The 22,532-nt window shown below is 37.5% G+C and overlaps 1 protein-coding gene across 17 annotated transcripts in view, besides 1 other annotated feature; it reads right to left on the minus strand.

Moving 5' to 3' along the window:
* Window positions 1-22,532, minus strand: part of LRRC4C (leucine rich repeat containing 4C) — a 1,345,454-nt gene that overhangs the window by 1,123,574 nt on the left and 199,348 nt on the right. The window lies entirely within an intron of this gene.
* Window positions 7,135-8,091: an enhancer, noted in NCBI's record as "H3K4me1 hESC enhancer chr11:41266457-41267413 (GRCh37/hg19 assembly coordinates)". NCBI's record gives its function as "activates a minimal SCP1, AML or CMV promoter by ChIP-STARR-seq in naive H9 embryonic stem cells {active_cell/tissue: H9 hESC(naive)}" and the evidence as "EXISTENCE:reporter gene assay evidence [ECO:0000049][PMID:30033119]".

Here is a 22,532-nt window from a genome sequence, read left to right on the forward strand (position 1 = left end):
ACAGAGCTTTCAATTTTTTTTCACTCCTATTTATCACTTCTCTGTGTTTTTAAAATGTTAATTACCTAAATATTAGCTTTTGGTTAAAGCTGCTAAAAAGCTTCCCACAAATAAAACCTACCTTCACAATTTCATTAAAAATATCTTTTCAAGACTTTTATATTCTTACCTCTGTTTCTTTGCTACTGCATTTTTTCACCTTGAATACCCATCTTTAACTCCAAGTATATAAATACCCCCAGCCACTCATAGCTTAGCTCAACTGTCACTCTTTTCCTAAACAAATTCCCACTTCCTATGAACAAATGTTAAACTCTGCTAATTTTCTACTTCTTCAATTTTTCTAATTTCTATCCTATTTTAAGCAGTGTATTAAATGTATTAATGTGCTCATTAGAGATCTTTTCTCCATTATTTACTCCACTGAATTTTGTGTAGTTCTTTATTGCAGTATGGCTAGTGGATTATCATATTGAGCTTATGACTTCTATTTACCTCTTTAGGCTAACCAGAGAGTAGAAACATCTATTCACATCTGTGTCTGAGTGCTTGAAACATAAAGGTGTCAACGAGTGTTCTTTATTTGACCTATATTTAATAATAATTAAAATAACATATTATAATTGATACTAACTCATTCCAACTTCACAAGAACTGTGAGATAGTTACTATTAATACTTGTATTTGCAGATGAAGATACTCAGCTTTGGAGAGGTCCAGCTACTGTCCTTAGATACACAACTATTATATTAACTTGTAGATCAGGATTTAAAAATTGAGCTGCAAAAGGGACTCAAGCTTCAGCTGCTAGGCACAGATCCTCCTTTGCTTGTGAGATAATAAATTAAGAACCATTAACTTATTTGTTTTGAACATGGGATAGAATATAGACATGAAACAGATTTGTCATGACACAAAGCCTCAGCTGTAACAAATTAAATCAACACCCTGGACCTTCCTCTCTACATGCCTCTTTACTATCATTATATAAAGATCCAGTGTCAGGTAATAAAAACAAACAAATAATAGCATTCAACTCTACGATCTTGGACAAAGGTTATCGTTCCTCCAAGTCATTTCCTTACTTATAAAATAGGAGACTTAGATCACAGGATCTCAGAGATTGCTTACTGGAATTGAATCTAAGATGCAGTATGTCCCTTTCCCATATTATATATTTTTACATTTAGAAAGGCCACGTATTTCTATTCTGATAGAAAGTCCTAGGAAAGGATTCTTTGTTAAACTCCTCCACAGTATTGGCCGGGCACGGTGTCTCACGTCTTTAATCCCAGCACTTTGGGAGGCCGAGGCGGGCGGATCACGAGGTCAGGAGATCGAGACTATCCTGGCCAACACGGTGAAACCCCGTCTCTACTAAAAAAAAAAAAAAAAAAAAATTAGCCGGGCATGGTGGTGGACGCCTGTAGTCCCAGCTACTCGGGAGGCTGAGGCAGGAGAATGGCATGAACCCAAGAGGCGGAGCTTGCAGTGAGCCGAGATTGCACCACTGTACTCCAGCCTGGGTGACAGAGCAAGACTCTGTCTCAAAAAAAAAAAAAAAAAAAAAAAAATGTCCTCCACAGTATTTTCCTATTTAATCAGAGTAATTGCCAAAATACTATTAATGGTCTACAAGGATTTATTCCTATTTCTCCTCTCTCTCAACTAATTTCATACACACACTGCTGCAACTACAATGGCCTTGTTGCTATGCTTTCAACTCAGGGCCTTTGAACTGGCTATTCCCTGTACCCGGAATTTATCTCCCCTAGGTAGATGCAGGTCTCTTTTGCCTCCCTCAAATGTGACTGTCTTACCAAGGGCTGTCCTGGTCACCCTATTTAAAATTGTATTTACATACTCCATTCTGTCCATTCTGTCATATTTTTTCTCTTTTCATTTTTAATTTACTGAATTTGTACTTTTGTTTTTCTCTTCCATTCCAACAGAACATGAGTTCCAAGGTCAGGGATTTTGTATATATATTGTATCCTAATATATCCCCAGCACCCAGAACAGCTCCTTGTACAGAATGATTCCTCAATTTTTGTCGATTTTGTGAATGAATGAAAAAGTAATCATCTATATTATTTTCGTTCATTCATCCTAACAATTGCATTTATTGGTGACTGCTAAGTACAGTTCTAGTTGCTGGAATCCTCTTGATGATTTTTGAAACCTTAGAGCCTCACATAATTTTACCCATTCTGGCTATTAAAAATTGTGTTGTGTCCAATATGAAAAATGAGCACTCTTTTAAGTTAATAAAAGTCAGGTCTCTTATTTTATAAAAATCAAATGTCAAAGCTTAGACTATGAACTAACAAACTCCAGCTTCAAAAGTGTGTCCTTGAAATTAGTCTTGTGTTGGCACAAACAAAAAGGGAAAATGGAAAACTTTAGATTTTTTGTGTATCATGAGATTTCCAGGCTATTAGGCTAAATTAGCTCCAGTTGCCTGAAGGATGTCTTAGGTAACTGCAGCTATCCACAGACATTACCGCATCTAATTCTTGATGCCATGCTTTGGGGAAAATACAAAGAAATCAGAGAAATTGCAAAGAGTCCCTCTCACAATGATAAAATGCAGGAGTAAACCAGAACTGTGAAAAAGATCAATTGAATTAAAAACGTACAGCCTGAAAAACCACAGATTACTGAGGGGAAGATTTTTTTCTGAAATATTAAAGAACAACCAAGAGAAAGAGGCTATTATCTTAATTATATAATGGGATACTGTTTTGAAAGCACTCTGGTTTATACAAGTGAGAATCTGCATTAAACATGAGTATCTCTTCACTTCTGGGGAAAAGTAGCATTAGAAGCCAAAATGGTTTTCCCTAAGCCACCGTTTTGCATAAGTGGATTCTTAATTGATTCTGGTAGGGGTCATGAAGGACCTACATGGGGATGACTTTCTTGCTGATAAATTGGGATGAATAGCATTCTGCTTTCATTGGAGAAAGGATAAGGAATTAGTAGGATATGCGTGGTGTGATTGTTGCAGAGAAGCACTTTCATTAAATTGAGAGAAGTAACACACACGCACACACACACAAATTATTTCAGTCTTTGAGGTATTACAGTAAAAAAAATAGAGCTTTATTCTTTGTAGACTAGAAACACAGCCAACAAAAATGTATACCCTGAGATCTACAATAGGCAGGAAAACTTAAAGGAACCACCATTTTACTGTGGAAAGACATGGATTTTAAGTCATGAGATCTGAGTCTTTCTCTAGGTTCTATAATTACCTTGCTTTACAAACTATGGTAAGTTATTAACTTCTGTATAATTCACTTTCTTAAACTGTTAAATAGGGTTAGTGGTGAGACCAACTACCTTATAGTGTTGAATGATATCTCCTTTTAAAATGAGAAAGCATGTAGGAGAATCAATTTTCTCCCAAATGAAAGCGTTATTCAAATGCTTATTTAATTATAGTAGATTTCTGTAGCTACCCAGGAGGAATAAATGATTCTTTGGGACCTATCATATCCTGGTGTTCAAATTTTCCAAGACATGTTCCCTAGAATAACTAACCAGGTTTTTAGAAGCAGTAACCCTTTCCAACAAGGACTGTTCTTCTTAATCATGACCATGAAACATGCTGAGTGTGGGAAATGTTGGTAAAGAAACAGTGAGTCCAGAGGTATGTCCAGGTCAAAGTAGGTGTATATGAGATTGTAGGAGGAAGTCAAAAGAGATGTAATATACTTGAGTTATCAACAAGTCAATGGAGAGTCAGAAATTTGAAGGCAAAAAATGACGGCAGAAAGCAAGGGCATGAGGATTAGGTTGAATAAAGTTTGAATATCTCTGGGTAGCTCTGATAAATTTTACCAATATCTATCATCATAGGAGATAATGATAATGGTGACCATGGTTGGTTAGACCTATCAAGAATGTTTTGTAGGTATCACTTTTCTTTTGACAGAACTCAGTTGGAATTAATCACAACTTTGTCCCTCTTTCGTCCTTTTATCTGGTCTGTGGCGACCGGTCTATCTTTTGAAAGGAAGAAATGGTTAGAAATGGTTTCTTTTCTCTCTGTTGTGCTCAGTGCAAGCCCAGTCAGTGAAAGAGTCTCTTCACTGGCAAATCAGAATTCCCCAAATATTCCATATTAATATTCTTTGCAGACATTTCTTTGACATCAATGCACACAGTTGGCTAATAAAGTTATTAAAATATGTCTCAACATCATCATTTTCTTTGCTTAAGTTTTTTTTGTATGTGTGAATTGTCTAGTCCTAAACAAAATCTTTTCCCTCTTACAAAATCATTCTAAAGAAAAGTCATTCTAATTTAACTCTCTAACATATAGTATTTTGCCTTTTTTGCAAGCCATTCCACTTAAGATTAGAGCTTTTAGGCTGATACAGTACTAGAATTAAAATAAGGACACTACTTTGATTTTCCAGTGTTGATTTTTTTTTGTTTTGTATAGCCAAACCTATAACCTTAGATAGTGAATTATTATCTCCAGGGGACAACCACGTTTTCAAAGCACTTTTTAAAAGCATTTTTCATGAACTTTCAAACATACCCTAGTTTTTTCCACATTTATTTCCCTCTTTGCTTTGAAATTTTTCATGAGATAATCACACCCATTTGTGCTACAGGCATGCAGTGGGTCAGCAGGTCCATCTGTGGAGGAAAGTTGGAGGATTATGAGAGATGGATGGCACCTAGAAAATTCAGAAACACCTAGAGGGTTATGTATCTTATCTTTTAAGAACTCAGATATCCTGTGCATTTACTCATCATGTATAGAGGAAATAACAAAGTAATTATAAATTAAAGGAGTTATAAATTATTAAGCATCACATGAATAATTTATTAATCATTCATGAGGTGCTAGTGCTGTGTCTCTGTATCTATCTGTCTGTCTGTCTCCCCTATTGATATTTTTATTACTTCATCCTTGACCTTAAAATCACCTTAGGAGTTAGCAATTTACTATTAATCCTGTCTTACAGATAAAGTCTTGGGACAAATCTCTATCATATAGTTCACCAATTCCAATTATGGAAATAAGCTATACCTGGTATATCATATGCTATCCTGGGTATCTTAATAGCTATTTATAACATATTAATGCATTGTATTTATTTAATGCTCTTTTCCCCTATATTCACACAGCTAATTAACTTGGTTTTTCTTAAAAGCAATACTGAGTGAGTTCAATGATTAGGCTTGTAAAGGAAAAAAATTCTATCCCTGTTTTTGAAAAATAAAAGCACATTCCGTCAAAAATTATGACCCTCTGTTAAACTCCGAAGTGTCTTCTTTCAGGCATCAAAGTTTATGTCAAATCCCTCTGACGCTGTGCTTAGCTATGTTTCTTAAGTATTTCTGACTCTCTTATGTGAAATTATCCTTCAGCTCATGATTCAGTGATTCTTTAATATCTTGACACACAGCCACTTAGAAAACCACTCATCATAAAAGAAGGAAACAAAAACATCTCTCTTAACAATTATTTAGGCATTTTACTTCTTTTAACAGTTTCCACATCCATTATCTTGTTTAACTAAAAGATAAAGCATTGGAATAGAAACACATATTTTGTCAAACAATTTCACTTTCCTTTTTCAGTTCAAGTTAAATGATAAAATCATAGGTGTATGCTTGCTATCTGTGGCAGACACTCAAGCCAACTATTGATAACTATTCTTCTCTCCTTCCTCAATGTTAAGAAGACAAATTTTAGTTAGGTCCTTTCCTTCCCAGATAAGTATTTCCTTCTCCTCCTTACAGCTATGTGTGGCCATGACCAAGTTAAAAGATGCATCTAACATCTGTAAAATTGCCTTAAAAGTCAATGGGAACCTGTCTTTCTAAACTCCTTTTGCCCTTCTGTTTCCTGGAAGGTGAATGTGATGACTGAAGTTCTAGCAACCAACTTGGCTAACAAGGATTAGAAGCACAGCCTAGGGATAATGGAGCAATCATCTAGGAGACAAGTTTTCTGAAAGAATTTGGAGAGCTGCTTTAACCAGGGCTAGACCACTAACTTCTGGGCTCTACCTTTGGTGATATATAATATATATATTGCATAAACTTCATAGCAGTACTATGAAGTAGGCATGAATATCGCTATTATACAAAGAAAGATATAAAGCTTCAGGGATTTTAAGTGATTGACCTAAGACCAAAACAGAATCCATGGTTTAGAATCACAGTTCTTCATACAGCTCTGGTACAAAATGGTTTCTCCAAATTTGCCTGTTTACCAAGTTAAAACGGGAACTAATTAAATAGGCACACTTAATTTATAGTCAGATAATGAGAAGAGAATGGATAATTTCCACTATGAAGGCCAGATTGGGTGACTTTAGCAGTTTATTGGCCTTCATTTCATGCTACCATGTTAGTTTCAAGAAAGTTTTCTCTATCTATCTATCTATCTATCGATCGTAAAAAGAAAGAAAGAGAGAGAGAAGAAGGAAGAAAAGAGGGCAGGAAAAACAAAGAAAGGGAAAAAAATGCTTTTAAAATGCCAAGCAGTAGATGTCCTGAACTACTTGTAAATCTAAGTACAAACAAATAGAAAATGATGCAATATATTTTATGTAAGAATTAATAGAAGTAGATTCCTGTTTTATTGGGGTGGGGGACAGCTTTCTAAAAATTTAGCAAGTGACAACAATTTCGGATAAAGTCAAAGAAAGTGAAACAAAGAGTACATTGGATCCAGCTAAGAGGATAACACTGATTGCTATTAATGCTGAAATAACAGGGAAGGTTGTGAAGTCAAAGCAACAGAGATAAAGAATGAAGGTGGCAATTGTATCAAGGGCAAGAAAACAGTAGAGGAGAAGGTCTTATACTGCTTGAATTACAAACTTTTCTTTTTGGTATAGATTTGGCATTTTTAGCTGAGATTCCTAAATAAAAGCCTCAGCTTTCTTCATTTTGTTTACTAGGTTTTAACAGTTCTATTTCTTACTGTATCTGCCTGCCAAATTTTGATTGAAGATGAAATCTACTGGGACCACTGAACATAGAACTTTACTCGATGAGTAAGACTGGATTTTGGGGCTATAGCATACTGCAGGCACAGGGACTCAAGTAGACAAATACTCACGACTGGCTCAGGCTTTCTATCCATCAACGATAATGCTTAGCATTAAACACCTACAACATGACAGGTATTTTGCCTACATCACCTGTTAGGTCTCACAGTCCCATAGTAGAAACAAGGTGTGGTTAATGGAATGGACTCTGGAGTCACCCTTCCTAGTTTAAAACCTAATCAGTGCATCCTCTCCATCCTGAGACGTTGGTTATGTTGCTCATCTTTCCTATCTTTCAGTTTTCTTATCTGTAAAATAAGAATAAAATTAATATTCACCTCTTTAAGGTGTTGAGAATTATTAGCTAAAATATATTGTCACAGGATCCTTGGGGTGTCACTTTCTGGCCAGAGACCTCTGTGGCCAGTGGTGACTATGCCTGAGTTTTGCTCGGCCTGCTGGGCTTGTTCCGCCCACTCAGCCTGGCAGGCTGCACGCAGTTCATGTCACTGGCCTGGATCCCATGCTTGTCAAGGGTGAGCCAGGCATGGAGCACGAAACAGCGAGGGGTGTGTAAGTGAGGGAGCCTGGGGTCCAGCCACTGTGAACAGCCAGGCATCCCGGCCAAGGCATGGCAGGCAGCTCCAGGCACCAGCACGGGTACTGGCTCCCTGCGAGGCTGTGGCTAGACCAGGCATACCACAAGCAGCTTCCACGGCTGGCACTGGGGAACACGGTGGCACCTGAAAGCTTGGAGATGACAGGAACTGACAGGAGCCCCAAAGAAGGTGTCACAGCCCTGACTCAGGGAGCTCCTAGGTCTGGGCTCCTGAAAGGGCTGCAGCTCTTCTCTTTTCTTCTTCCATTGCCCACCACATGGCAAGCAAGGAGAGTGTTTTAGCCCTGCTTGTGTTTTTCAGCCATGCCATTTGGCAGGTACTGAGTTCTTGTCCTGCATCCAGGAAGAATGAGGTACGCGGACAAGTGGAGGGTGGAGGGTGAGCAAGGTGAAGAGGTGCTTTATTGAGTGACAGAACACCTTAGAGGAGACCCATAGTGGGCAGCTCCTCTGCAGGCAGGTGGTGCTGTTGTCTGCCCGAGTCTGGCTGAGGACAGGGATTTTTATAGGCTTCAGAGGAGAGGGAGTGTGTGCTGATTGGTCCCTGGGTGGCCATGGACAGCCCTGGAAAAGGCACCGTAAGTTCTCACTCGGGTCCACAGAACTGGTAGCCCAAGCCCCAGGCCTCAGGCCATTCCCTAGCCTGAAGGTAGGATTTCACCAGGGACCTGTCCCTTACCCCCTGGAGCCTGTCACCTCCTGCTGCCGTTTATCTGCCGTCCATGGCACCCAGGATGCCCAGGTTGTTCCTGCAGAGGGGGTGCCTGCAGTCCCTTGCCAAGCCGCCCTTATCCCCTCTCCAGCCTCCCTCCCAGGCTCATCGGCACCCAAAGTCCAGAGTGGGCTGATGCAGCAGGGGGCTAGTGTGTGTCAGTGCTGCCCCAAGCATGTACACACCTGGCTGGGTCATGACAGCGCCTGGGCTTGGCCACAACTTTGCTCTGAAATCAGAACAGGCACTGGGAGTAGGGAGAGGCCAAGCAGCAGGAGCAGGCACTTCTGAGCTTGTAGGGGTAGGGGGGCTTCCTTGGCCCCTGAGAGTGCAGAGATGCCCCATCCGCAGTCGTGGCTGAGCAGCTATAGCTGAGCTCAGAAGAATGGTGCTCCCCACCCTTCAACTTGGAAGCGGGCGGGGCTTCCACCTGTTCCCAGCTCCTGCAGCTCTGTGGAGCATGCAGCCCCAGCCACGCCTCCCCCACTGCAGCCAGTGTCATGGCAGTGGCCACTCCAGACTGGCTGCCACTGTCATCAATATCATGTATTTAGAATAGCCTGTCATCTTATATGGTTTGCTATTATTTTTGTTGTTCTTGTTTTTAATCCCTTTCTTCATTTCACTGAGAAGAAAAAGGAAGCTGAGAGGGTTTACCCAATTAATAAATGTCAAAGCTAGTATTAAGCTTTAGGGTTGCCACCTCTAAAGTTGGTCAACACTCTGGGACAGGCACTATTTTGTGTTTCATTCGGGTAGAGAAATTCTGAATTATAAGAAACACCTTTTCAGAAAGTTCATTCCTAACATTTAAAAAGTAAATTCATCTCTGAAAATGCCACTTACTGCAAATTTGGACATCTTTCCACCCCACCGGGTGAAGGTAGGTCACCCCTTCTTACCTTCTCATTACAGCCTTCATTTCAGCTGAAGTGCAGGGCACAGTCAGCTTCCAGCTGCCTAATTACATTATGAGAACTACATTATTAAAGGGCTATGTAGTGTGAATCTGTGTTATAAGTGTTTTCATGAAAACTACAAAAGGAATACAATTAGTTTTTCATCTTTGGAAAGAAAGCTCTTAGTTTGATAGGACTAGAAACCCCTCTGTTGCTTTGGCTTTAATGTCCTCCTCCTTCCTAAAAATCCCTTCCAGGCTGTCCACAAGCCTCTCTGTCCAAATCAAAACTGTTTTCAAGTCACCACCAAAGTGTTTTCAAAATTAGAGTAATTTCAGGTGAATTCTCATAAACATCTTTCCTTTCTTCTTGCTTTTCAATGTCTACTTAAGAACAAACACAAAGTCAACTCCAATGCTTTTTATAGTCCAAGCCCAGTAAAAAACGTTAAAATTCCAATAAGCAATGATGTCTTTTTACTACATTTTAGTACTAAAAAATAAGTGGTTCTAAGACTGCTGTGGCTGTTAGTACTTAAATGGCCAAATTATCTTAATTGTCTCAGAAGTGGTACTAAAGTTTGAAAAAGCAAGAGTGCCTATGTGAGAAGGAAGGGAAAATGCCACCATTATGTTCACTTTTTAGAAGGGAACATTTGTCTGCATTTCAGTCAACAACAAACCATTTTCCAGTAAATCAAAACTCAAAGAGGTGCGGATGGCAAAATTCTCTGGCATATGCTATCCGTGGCTGAGTTGTAGTAAATTTAACTTTGCTGTGCAGAATTATGAGTCCATTTGATTCCAATTTAAATCAACTTGAAGTTCCACGCTGGCCCATTTTGAGGCTGGGGCACGTTGCATTACAATGCATGAGACACATTTTTCTGTTGGCAAAGAGCTCTTTGGACTCTTGATGCCAAACTCAATGTCAAACGATGTCTGAGACCCTGGGGGAGGCAGGGAGCTAGAATACACTCAAGCTGAGTACATCTCACAGAGAAGAATCACTTACTTAAAGGCAAAGCGAAAAGAGGGTGTGGATGAAACAGTAGAGTCAAGAACCCAGCAGATTCTTATCAAGTAAATAAGCTTATCTTCTTTAACAAATTATCTCTTTTTTGATATTGATATCTTAATAAACTAACAAATATTCTCTTGTCCCAAGTCCTAACTTCTTTACCAATATCCATAACATTTACTGTTCCTTCTCACTGCCTGCCAAATCCTGGAAAGAACTGTCTATACTAAGAGTTTATATGACCTTTCTCCTCTCTATTCTCCTGGACCCATTCCTAGCAGGCCTTCACCCTCTGTTTACATACAAAGGATTCTTGATGAATCACACTCTTCTTCATTTTGAAATGCTCAATGATCTCTTCCCAGTCCTTGGTTTACTTGACCTATCAACAACTCTTGGCAGAAGTGATTCATCCCTTATCTTTAGAATGCATTCTTCATTTGGTTTTCAGGAGGGTCCTTTGAATGGATTATCCTCCTACTACAAATGTTCTTCCTTCTCAGTGGTCTTGGTTGGATCTGCCCCATTGTCCCTACCTGTATGAAATGGAATATCACAGGAACCACCCACAGATCTATAATCTTCTTTTATTATACTTACTTCCTAAATGCTTCCACTCAATAGCATGACTTTAATTTTCATTCATATGCTGATGACCAAATTTACATCTCCAGTCTCAATCTCTTCTCTAAACTACAACTTTTAATTTGATAACTGTAATTGAAAGTTAATAAGTATCTTAAAATTAAAGCTTCCCAAAGACATGCTTTATATCTACTCTCTCCGAATCCGAAATGCAGTTTTTTCAATCAAATTAACTGGCAATTCCATCCTACCAGACCAAAACGTTGCTTTAGTCTTTACTCTTCTTTCTCATATCTCACTTCCAATCTATCAGTAAATACTATTGGTTTTAGATTCAAAATATACTCTGAATTTGCCCACTTCTCACTATAGCCACTGTTATCTCCCTGGTTTAAGATACTGTCTTCTTTTTTTTTTTTTGAGATGGAGTCTCACTCTGTCGCCCAGACTAGAGTGCAGTGGCACGATCTCGGCTCACTGCAAGCTCCACCTCCCGGATTCATGCCATTCTCCTGCCTCAGCCTCCCGAGTACCTGGGACTACAGGCACCTGCCACCACGCCTGGCTAATTTTTTGTATTTTTAGTAGAGACGGGATTTCACCATGTTAGCCAGGATGGTCTCGATCTCCTGGCCTCGTGATCTGCCCTCCTCGGCCTCCCAAAGTGCTGGGATTACAGGCGTGAGCCACCGCGCCCGGCCAAGATACTATCTTCTTATACTTGGATTCTTGCAAGAGACTTCTAACCATTCTCCTTACTTTTACCTAGGTATTATTTGGCATGTAGATGTCAATCACTCTTCTAAAACTTGAGTCAGATCAATTCATTTCTCTATTCGAAACTCACCTGTGCCCTCCTAAGGTATTCAGAGTGAAATACAGAAAACTTACCATGACTTATAGCATCCTACCTTTTTGACTGCCTTTGCTTCCAGTACCTCCCCAGCTTACACATCAGGTTCACACCAAGCTCCTTACTGTTCCTTAAACAGCCCTAGGATGTTTTCATCTGCAGGCCTTTGCACTTGCTGCCGTAACTGCTTAGAAGCACTTATCTATGTGCTTTCATGAGGCTTCTCTTCAAAGATCCCTTTATCAAGAAAGCTTCTATAATCCATAGAAAATAGCATCCCTGGATCTATCATTTTTAGTGACTTTATTCTGCTTCATTTTTCTTTGTGACACTTATTACCACCTGACATATTTTGCATTTGTCACTGGCTATCTTCCCCAACTAAATATGAACATAATGTGGACTTCCTTTTCTCCACACTTATATCTTGAGTGCATAGAATAGTGCCTGATCTGATCACCTGAGGTCAGGAGTTCGAGACCAACCTGGCCAACATGGTGAAATCCCATCTCTACTAAAAAAAAAAATACAAAAATTAGCCAGGTGTGATGGCAGCGCCTGTAATCCCAGCTACTTGGGAGGCTGAGGTGGGAGAATTGCTTTAACCCAGGAAGCAAAGGTTGCAGTGAGCTGAGATCATGCCACTGCACTCCAGCCTGGGCAACAGAGCAAGACTTCATCTCAAAAAACAAAACAAACAAACAACAAAAAAATAGTGCCTGGCACCCAGGAGCATTTTAATAAGTTCCAGAATTACCTAAATAGTTGTTTCACAAAAGTTAGTGGAATCAACAAAATGAAACTTTCCTCTACCTGATTTAGAAGGATATTTTAAAAGTCATTAGGAATGATACATCTTGGGAGTTTCTTGACTTTCAAAATATATAAAACTGGCAAGACGATCTCAGCAGAGAGAAGAGTTTCAAACCAATCTACCTTCTGACACTGCCTTGTGTCACTTTGTAAAGGTCATAGATATTTGAAATAAAATTTTCCTTGACATAATAGAAAGTGAGTCCTGGCAAAATAATTATGAAATATTGATTTAGAGAAATCCAGTGGTTCAGGCATTCTGAGATAGGGGGACAGGGAGCCAAAAATTACTGGCTTGTGATGACTTGGCATTTTTTTAGCTTGCTTGAAACCATCTTTAGCTTCTGTGAATCCATAAGGCACATGCTCAGTACGTTTGGCTGAGTGTTCTGCTCCCAATAACATTTCTCCATAACTATTAACATAAAACCACCTCAAATTAATGGCTCTGCTAAATTGAACTTGACGTGGTTCAAAATGCAAGCCAATCTGTTTTCAATTCCACAATCACTCATCATTCTTGTTTTATTACTTCTAGAGGCAGAAGAAGCTTAAGATGTACTAACTTTGTTAAACAAAATCTGATTTTTGACTCAACTGTCAGTCTTCACAGTTCAGCAAATTTTAAAAAATATTTTGCAGCATTTTCTATATTATCTCTGTAGACATTTATAGATAGTTCTCTTATATTTTACATGATATAGCTGAAAAAATTGTTAATTTTTGTAGACCACTAATGTATCTATCAATTCTTATTTTACTTTACACTCAACCAAAAATAAGAAGCCAAACAATACAAAACCCCAAACCTCAAATGATAAAGTATTTATTTTACAAAAGCATTTTGCTTACTCTTTGAACACAGATTTGACATATCACCACCTTCATATTTAAAATGTCTTAGGGAAATAGTTCATGCCTACCATTAAGAAGGAGGTTTTATTTCATGAGATGCAGCAAATAAGGACACAAACAAAATACATCACAGCACAAACTCTTCTAAATCTCATCACTAACATCTAATTCTTCGCTGTAGAGCTCACCGTCTGCCCTACCTCCTGAGACCTGGATTCGTCTGTTTCTTTCTCCCACAAGTCACCATTCTGCGTCTTCCTACTTGTTTAGTCCTAATATCTCTCTGTATAAAGTGTGTGTCCATTGTCATTAAAATATGTGTCCTGTTTCCCCTTGCTTATCACTTACTCCTCCTTTTGTATTATTCCAAGCCATTTAGCACTCACAGCTTAATAGAAGTATTTTTGGAAACAATATACTCAGTAATATATGGCCAAATGTGCATGATCACATTTTGTAGGGAGCAATTAAGAATTGTGAAACAGCCCGGACTAATTTGGAGCCAAACTACCAGAACTGACTGACAAAAATGAGTATTAATTATCGTGCCTTGCCTCTTCACTACAGCTGAGTTTAATTTTCATGGCCTTCATATTACCAAAGTAACACAAAAATGAACCACTCTTGTGGCTTTACCATATGATGATAAAGGCGGAGCATTTGAATAAATATTGTAATTGAATGTTTTATGCTGTGTAGCTAACATTTGTCTCAAGTAGAAAAAAATAAGCTATATAAGCATTATATTCATGAGGTATCATGTGATAATTAAAAAGAAAAATGGAAAAATGTTTAGGACAAATGAAAAAACATGTAGACACACTTCAGATATATGCATGCCAGGTGTTAATATGAAAAAAAGAATTGAACAGCAATATAAAGAAATAAAAAATATCTTTCTTTTAAGGTTGTAAGATGTCAAAGTAAGAAGGCACTACATGGAATTAAACAGGCAAGAAAAGCTTTATTCAAGACATTGCAATAAGGAAGAGGGATTGAATTCAACTCTGTTGAAACAAAAAGCAGGAGGGTTTTAAGTGCTGGGCTAACCTGGTAGAAAAGTGCTGGAAAATGTCGAGGAGAGGTTGGTCAATACGTTTCCTAATTGGTACTTGACAAAGTTAGACTCCTACCTTTTAATAGAAACTAGGAGAGTGTACCCTATCTTTCTTGGTTACATTTTGAAGAGATGGCTCCTAGGTCCTTGAAAATACATTTCTGAGCTATCAAACTGGCAAGCTGGAAGCATATTTACAGCCCAAAGGAGTAGAGAAAGAGTTTATAATTGTGTTTTAAAGTAAGTTATCTAAGAAAAGGGAATCCGGACCCAATAGTCAGGAGGAAAACTTTTTAAAGTTTAGTCAAGCCAAGAAGAACATTAAAGTCTTCTCGGGCAAGAATCACAAGTAGTATTTTTCTACTGACTCTGTTTTTGTAATACTATTTTGTTCCTATAATTAAAATCTAAAAAGCAACAAAAAATGTCCTATTTAATAAGTGCCTTAGTCTGCTCTCAGCTGCTAATAAAGACATACTTGAGACTGGGTAATTTATAAAGGAAAGAGATTTAATTGACTCACAGTTCCACATAACTGGGAAGGCCTCACAATCATAGCAGAAGGTGAACGAGGAGCAAAGTCACATCTTACATGGCAGCAGGCAAGAGAGCTTGCACAGGGGAACTCCCTTTATAAAACCATCAGATCTCATGAGACTTATTCACTACCACAAGAACAGCACGTGAAAGATCCATCCCCATGATTCAATTACCTCCCACTGTGTCCCTCCTACAACATGTGGGAATTATGGGAGCTACAATTCAAGATGAGACTTGGATGGGGACACAGCCAAACCATATCATTAGGTTTTTAACTCACCAAAATGTTATTTTGAGTAAGAGTCAAGACGATCATTCACATGGCTATTTCTTAGAATAACTTTATATGGTTGGTGAGTGCAATATTCCCTACTGTAGACCAACTTTGAAGGCACCAATGGAACAGATCTGAGGATATTCATTGCCCCTACTTTTGGCTTTCTAATTCCTCAGTAAGTAAAATATCAGATTACTGGATGGGTCTGTACATTATAATCATCAAAATGAGTAAACACAACCACAGAATTCTCTTGGCTAATTCTTTTCACTTTCTTTAATTATCTTTCCCACTAAAAATTTCAATGTTCATTAAGCAAAGCTGCTCTAAGTAGCTTCTGTCACTCCAGTTAACTATTAAGTATTTAAACCTGTACTTCTGAAGACCATTTCATATGAGTTCACGTTTACTCATATCATGAGTCTGACAATATTACAGGGTTATCATACTTTTACCCAGGAGCTTTTAGTCTAAGCTGCATTTCATTTTACAAGAACCACTGTGATAATAGGCTAAAAGTCTTGACCAGGGAATAAAGAGAACTGGTTTCTTGTCCCAGCTCCATGATGAAATAGGTACATAACACTAACCAAGTCTTGTCACATCCCTGGCCTAATAGCACAGTTCCAAATCTGTAAAATGAAAGTGTTAAGCTTCAAAATTGCTAAGACCTCTTTCAGCTGTAATATCTTATGATTCTAAGATTCTACCACCTTGCAAGATCCTTGTGAGGCAAAAGTTAGTTTATGTTTGTTCAAGTTTTAGATAACATAGAACTCTGCACTCTAAAAGAGTCAAAAGACTAATGACGGCGGCAGTTTTAGAATAAGGATCCACCATCCTTGAAAGCACTCTTTAGTGAACCAGGCACAGGGCCATTTTAATTTCCCTAAGCCCGTTCTATGGAAGTTTCTAGAAATAATCATATTGCCAAGCTTTAACTCTTAATTAACAGCTGAGTTTTAAGTGTCAATTTACTGTTTGTATAGGGCCCACTCAGTTTCCATCATATTACAAAATATATATACGACCTAGTAAGATATTCACCAGTGTCCACTCACTGTATAAATATATAAGGAAAGAAATTAATATGAATTTATTCATCCTTTTTATTAATATTTTATGCAGTTGACAGCAACTTCATGGATTTGAACACATAAATGAAAAGGCATGGGAGGCATTTTACTTATTTAGGTAGTACATGTGCCTGGTTTGTACATAGAATCAAGAAACCCTTTTTCCAATAAATGCACACCAACCCATCACCTTCATTTTTCAAAGTCGGGAATCATTGGTCTACGTGGATCAATCAGTACTGAGTTTGACATATATTCATTTTAATGGAGTGGAGAGAAACGTCTTCAAATTCCTGAAATATTGTTTAGCTCAGGTCACATTTAAAGTCTGAGTAATCATAAATGCAAGACCCAAACCTAAATAAAATGGACTAGTCATCTAAAGAGAAATACATCCTTTGTGATATACCCCCAAATCAGAATTGCTCAAATGACAGAAGTCACATTTTATGAGTTGTGCTCTTAGCTGGTTACCCAAGGGGCCATAATATTAATATTTCCCTTCAGAAATTTGTATAACTGACTCTCTTTACTCCAAGACCATCTACTCCTGAGGAACAATGTGTAAGGAATTTGGATGTGAGGTGGTTTAAAACAGCCCCTGCTGAAACTTGCTAGAGAAAGCACTGAAAATTCCACCTGCTCCATGGCATAGAATTTTCCTCAAAATTCACATTCTTTGACAATGGCAAAGCTTTTTAATTTAAAATGCTTCTAACCATTCTTGCTTTGCTTCAGTGGACTGTGGTTATAAAACTTTTATCATCCTAGACTGCCAAATAGAATATATCAAGCAACTGATTCCATCACAGCCCTTGTTCCCCAAGTGGAAAACCAAGGTTGTATGACATCTGAGTCTGAGAACATTTCAGAATGTTAAAACGATTAAACTTACTGTGTGTTTAGTGTGCACAGAAAACTGCTTATTTTCCTGAGTTTCTTGCAAGGGTAAAATTAACCTATGAAAAACTAAAGAGGTAATGCAAGTTAGAATACTATACCATTCCCTAAAAGCTCAACAAGGCTTGGAATTTTCCCCTGCCAGTGTTCCAATGAACAGCTATTTGGATACCTGCCAAATGAATGAAGCACAATACAGATGGATCTTCTTCTCTTGTTTTCTGAATTATATTCCTCAAGTTGTTTGTCTTTAACCTTCAGAAAGCCTTGTGCCTTTATCATCTAAAACGATCTGAGCTGGGTGGTGCTTAGAAGTAATTTTAAAATACTGTCAACTAATAAAAACAAACACAATAGTGACAGAAAGCTCAAAGACCTGGCTATAGTAGAGATTTTAAAGGGAATGACCCCAGAGGAAAACCAACTGATCTTGGTTTATTTATCCCAGGCAATAAATCACCATCTAGACAAATTGAGGCATATTGAGACTTGGTTGCTTAATGGATAATCCATTGACCTTTTAATCCCCTTAAATCTTTTTCTGTATTCATTTTTATGTACCAGGCAGCATGTTGCATGCCAGGCAAATTTGTTGTTCCAGGAAGAGGTGAAATTGTAAAAGAGAACAACTGTGGAACCATAGCTATTATTCCCCCCTCTGACATCCTCCTGATACCCTGGAAAAATTGAGAATAAGGGTAGAAGGGAATTTTTCATAGCATATTATGTAAAAAAAAATTACCCTTTCTATAACTCTTAAGCTAAACACAGATTAAACAACTCTGCTAAGTCCCAGTATGCTGCCAACTACGTGTCTGGATCAAGTGGGAATGCCTTGATTCTCTAGATGTGCCCTTCTAGGAGTCAGCCTACAATAGCAATCTGAATTCAGGTAGTCAATACAACTTCTTTCTCAACCACAAGAAGCAGAGTAGCTTGATAATATCAAATATACCAAATTGAAAGCTCATTTTAGGAAAAACAAAAGGGCAACTTCTTTGGAGTATCTGTAACAAGAAGGAAACATTTTTAAAATCTAAAGCTCTGAATATGATAAAATGTATTTTATAAAAATAAATTCCAAATGGTAGTTTAACAGAAAGCAGATTGATATTTTAAAGGCTGGCTCTGTCTGTTTGTGTCTTTATCCAAAGCATTCTCACCTTTTACAGAAACACAGTATTGCTGCCAACACTCCCGCATAGCTCAGTCACCCCGGGTGATAACATAACCAAGTATTGTGTTCAGAGTAATCAATCAATCAATCCATCCAGGAAAATGAGCAAGTCTCACTCAGCAGGTTCCCACTCTACAGGAAGTAACACACTATTGTTCTTACTCTCCTGAACCTTATCCAAATCAGTAAACCAATCAGTTACTCCCTCATACTACCACTGTTGGTAGATAAAATGATAATTGCATTGTTTCGTCAACCATTCCAAACATCAACTGGCATCAAGACCCACCATGCTGCACAATGCCCATCTGTGCAGTTGTACTGAGTTAGAAATCCAAAAAAGGAAAGTGGTTACAGCAAACCCAGAGATTAATTTAAAAAAATTGATTCATAGCATTAAAAAGTAATCAGCATCTATCCACACAGATCAACTCATATGTAGAAAGGAGATTTATTCAGTTTTGGACAATAGAGGAACATTTCATTAACATTAAAATAACCACCTCTCATATCATGCGTGTTGTCTTACATTGAGAGGAAGTGATCAAAGTCTGTTTAGATCACCCTGAAAATCTACAACAATTTAAGGCCATAGACCATAAAAATCTTTCAGAACAGAAAATGTCTTTATGCAATTAATCAAGATATTGAAGTTCAAGAGTGACTTCTAATGGTCATGTGGCTACTTAGTGGAACAGTACACATTATATATAAAGCTCCAGAGGTCTTCAGACCTAATTTCTCTTTATTATACCAAACATGCAAGATGATCATAGGTTATTGGCATTTTAAGCTTTCATTAAGAAGCTTGATAGAAAATACAAAAATTGAGATAAAGGTGGGACCCAATCTAAAAGGAAAACTTATCACTAAATATCAAACAACCAAACCACCATGAACACCCATGAGTGTTCAGGGTTTGTTCTTGTGTTGGCGTTGTGGTAGATAAAACAGTACTATCACACACTGAGTATCCCACTAAGTTCAAACAACCAGCCATCACCCCCTACAAAAAATCAGAGAACAAAATAGTGTATAATACAGCTCAACTATTTAGTAGGAGAAATAAGTGGAAAAGAACTTGGAAAGGTGAAAAATGTGAAAGACAAGAAATATACTATAAAAAGTTGGAGTTGTGGTTAAAAAGAAAAGAGTAAGATTCAAAATGCAGCCCCACCATCAGGCTGAGACACAATCACATTCCACACAGAAATAGATGGCACACTTAACTTGGTTAATTTCAGGAGGAAATATTTATAAAGGTGTAGCTAGCTGTTGGGAAGCCATGAGGTATGGTTCAGTGCCTACCTGAGTGATAGAAGAACACCAGTTATTTTCACTAGGTCTGAAGAGATTTGCAGAACATAAAGATAGAGAATTCTGATATTTAGTGAACACTGGTTTATGACTTATACACATCTTGCTTTCTTCCTACCATTTCCTGCCAATGGGCATTAAGCTGGGAAAATCCAACAGGTCACCAGGGGGCAAAGGAGCTGGAAGGTGAAGAGTGAATCTGGGGAGACAATAAGATGTAGGCCGATACTAAAAACTATTTCCAAATGTGTCTTTCTGTTCTCATCCATGGCTCTACTTTGCCAGAGTGACTTTGTTCATATCTGCCACCTCCCTGCATCTAGCTCAGCTTTCACTGTTTTCATGAAAATTTACCAATCCTTCATATGAAATTAGTTAGTAATGCCTGCCTCAGAGGAAGTGTGCAATAAATATGAGTTCTTTTTCTTTTCCTGTATCTATAAATCCATTTTTTCATGGTGTGTTTGCGTGCTTAAATTTTTTTATTATTTAGAAAAAGAAAGAAAAGCCTCATGAGCTAGGTAACGATATATAATTCTAAAACAAAACTTGTAGATTAGTAAGTAAAGACTGAATGAGTCAGTATACAAAAAAAGAATAAGAGGAACCCGATTTCAACACATGGTGCTGAAATATAATATCTGAGTTTCTGTGATGGCTTTAACCGGAGTATGCAGATCCCTGATCGCCTAGGGAATAAATTGCAGGATAATTAAACTCCTGAAGAATCAATAGATTTTCCAGAAAGCTTACATTATATATTTGGTATTCTAGTTATGGCATTGAGTGTTAGGAAGGCTTGATATATCTTCAAGGGAAGAAGACACTGGTATATGTTAGCCTTCACGAGTTCTCTAAGAACTTGGCAATCTATTTCATACCACCTACCCTTCTCTCTGACACTTGAATAGGCCAGGACAAGTAGCAACACAAACAGATCTGATATAATTTTAAAATGTTTTAATATCTATATTATCTCATGACATAAGAAAGACAACTGAAGAAAATATCTGGATAGATCTTAAAATAGTCTTTGGATTTTACCTTATTGTGTTTTAATTTTTTTTCCTTTACAGTCATGTGTAACATCTAACTTGCTAAATATATATAAATATTGAGAACAAGAGTATGTTTATATCTTATAGAAGGAAGGAACTCAATAAATTTTAGCTGAATTGAGGAAAAATGTAATTGACATAAAAATCAACTAGTTTCACTGGGATTAAATAAAACATAGGCATTTTTACTAATGAACAGCAACATCAAAATTTGCCCATTAACACTCTAGAATATGTTATGCCTTCAACTTGAAATTAGGATGCCCTGATATTAGACAATGTCTGCCTTTGGCTCTCAGAGCTGAGTTGTACTGGGGTGGCTGGTATGAAAATAATCCCCACTGTTTCTAGTACAAATAATCTAAAAATAAACATACTTCCCACTTTTTGCTGGGGGTTGTAAATTAAGCAACATGGCTTAGAAGTTTCAGCTCACCATTTATTTAGACAGAATGGATGCTAAAGAAATTTGCTTGCTAAAAAGCATCCGTAAGAGCAGACTATATCCTTTCTAATCTCTGTATCATATACTGAGCACAACTTTAATCAGTAACAGTTGATTTTGTTGAGGGCAGTGAGAGTTTATTTGAAAGGAACCTTAAAAGTCTGGTGAGTTCGAACTTCTCAAGTAGAGATAACTCAGAGACCCTTTATTGATCACAGATTCTTCTTCTCTTTCCCACATAAAGAACATTTTCAAATCTCTCTTCTAGTATTTTGTGTTATTTTTCTCATGAAAGACATCAGCACATGTGAGTTAACTTTTTAATTTCCTGGTAGACATGGTTGTATTACTTAACTATCTAACATTATTCTTATAAAATTTACATTCCCTATAGATTTTGGAAATGTGTACATGGTCAGATTAATTTATTCTTGTCTCTAAGTATCTTTTATGAAACAATTATATCTAGAAGCTGATTTTAAGGAATACAAGTATTCCTTATTTTTCTTTCTAAGCTCTGCGTATTAGGCTTGACAATCTGGGATACAGAAAAAGAAGGCATTGTTTAATCACATATGCGCAAATGCAGTTTAGACTTTTAAAGTAAATCACTCTATTGTGAGCCACACTGGACCTAATCATGTCTGATTTATGAAGTATGGCCTGTTGTAAGTTAGCAGAACATTCTCAGGCCAGTCAAACATCCTGGGTTTCAGACTAGTCTCTAAATCTTACTACTGTGTAGCTGCGAACTATTTACTTATCCATCTTTGAACTTCACTCTTCTTGCAAAGTGTAGTAAGATAATTTCTTTGGTGGTTTTTTTTTAAAAATCAAATAAGATAAAGAAAATATATGCATTTTAAAAGACTGTTAGTTAATTATAAGCCAATAGACCTTTATGAGTCCAATTCCCTGCGTTCTGTTAATATGCCATTTTTAATCTAGTGAATTTTTTGGTGCAGTGAAGATTGGACTTTGGCATCTAATATCTGTAGGTGCAAATCTCAGGTTTGCTACTCTACAGCTGTATAACTTTGGACAAATTTCTTAAGCCCTCTGGAGATTATTTTTTGTCATTTTTTAAATGAAAGAATTAGGACTTTTTCATAGGGATATGCTGCCTTTCACATAGTAGTCTGTCGTCTGTCATTAACTACTTGTTTATAACTTTCTTCAATTGTACTCTTTCCCCAAAATACGTAATGCAAAGATACCTTGCCTGTTTCTAGATCCTACAATTTAGAAACTGAGAACTCACAAAAGTTTACAAGAGTTACAAGGAGAGTTAATGGCTTGGAAAA

The sequence above is a fragment of the Homo sapiens genome, chromosome 11, assembly GCF_000001405.40.
Source record: "Homo sapiens chromosome 11, GRCh38.p14 Primary Assembly".
In the NCBI taxonomy this organism is placed as follows: Eukaryota; Metazoa; Chordata; class Mammalia; order Primates; family Hominidae; genus Homo; species Homo sapiens.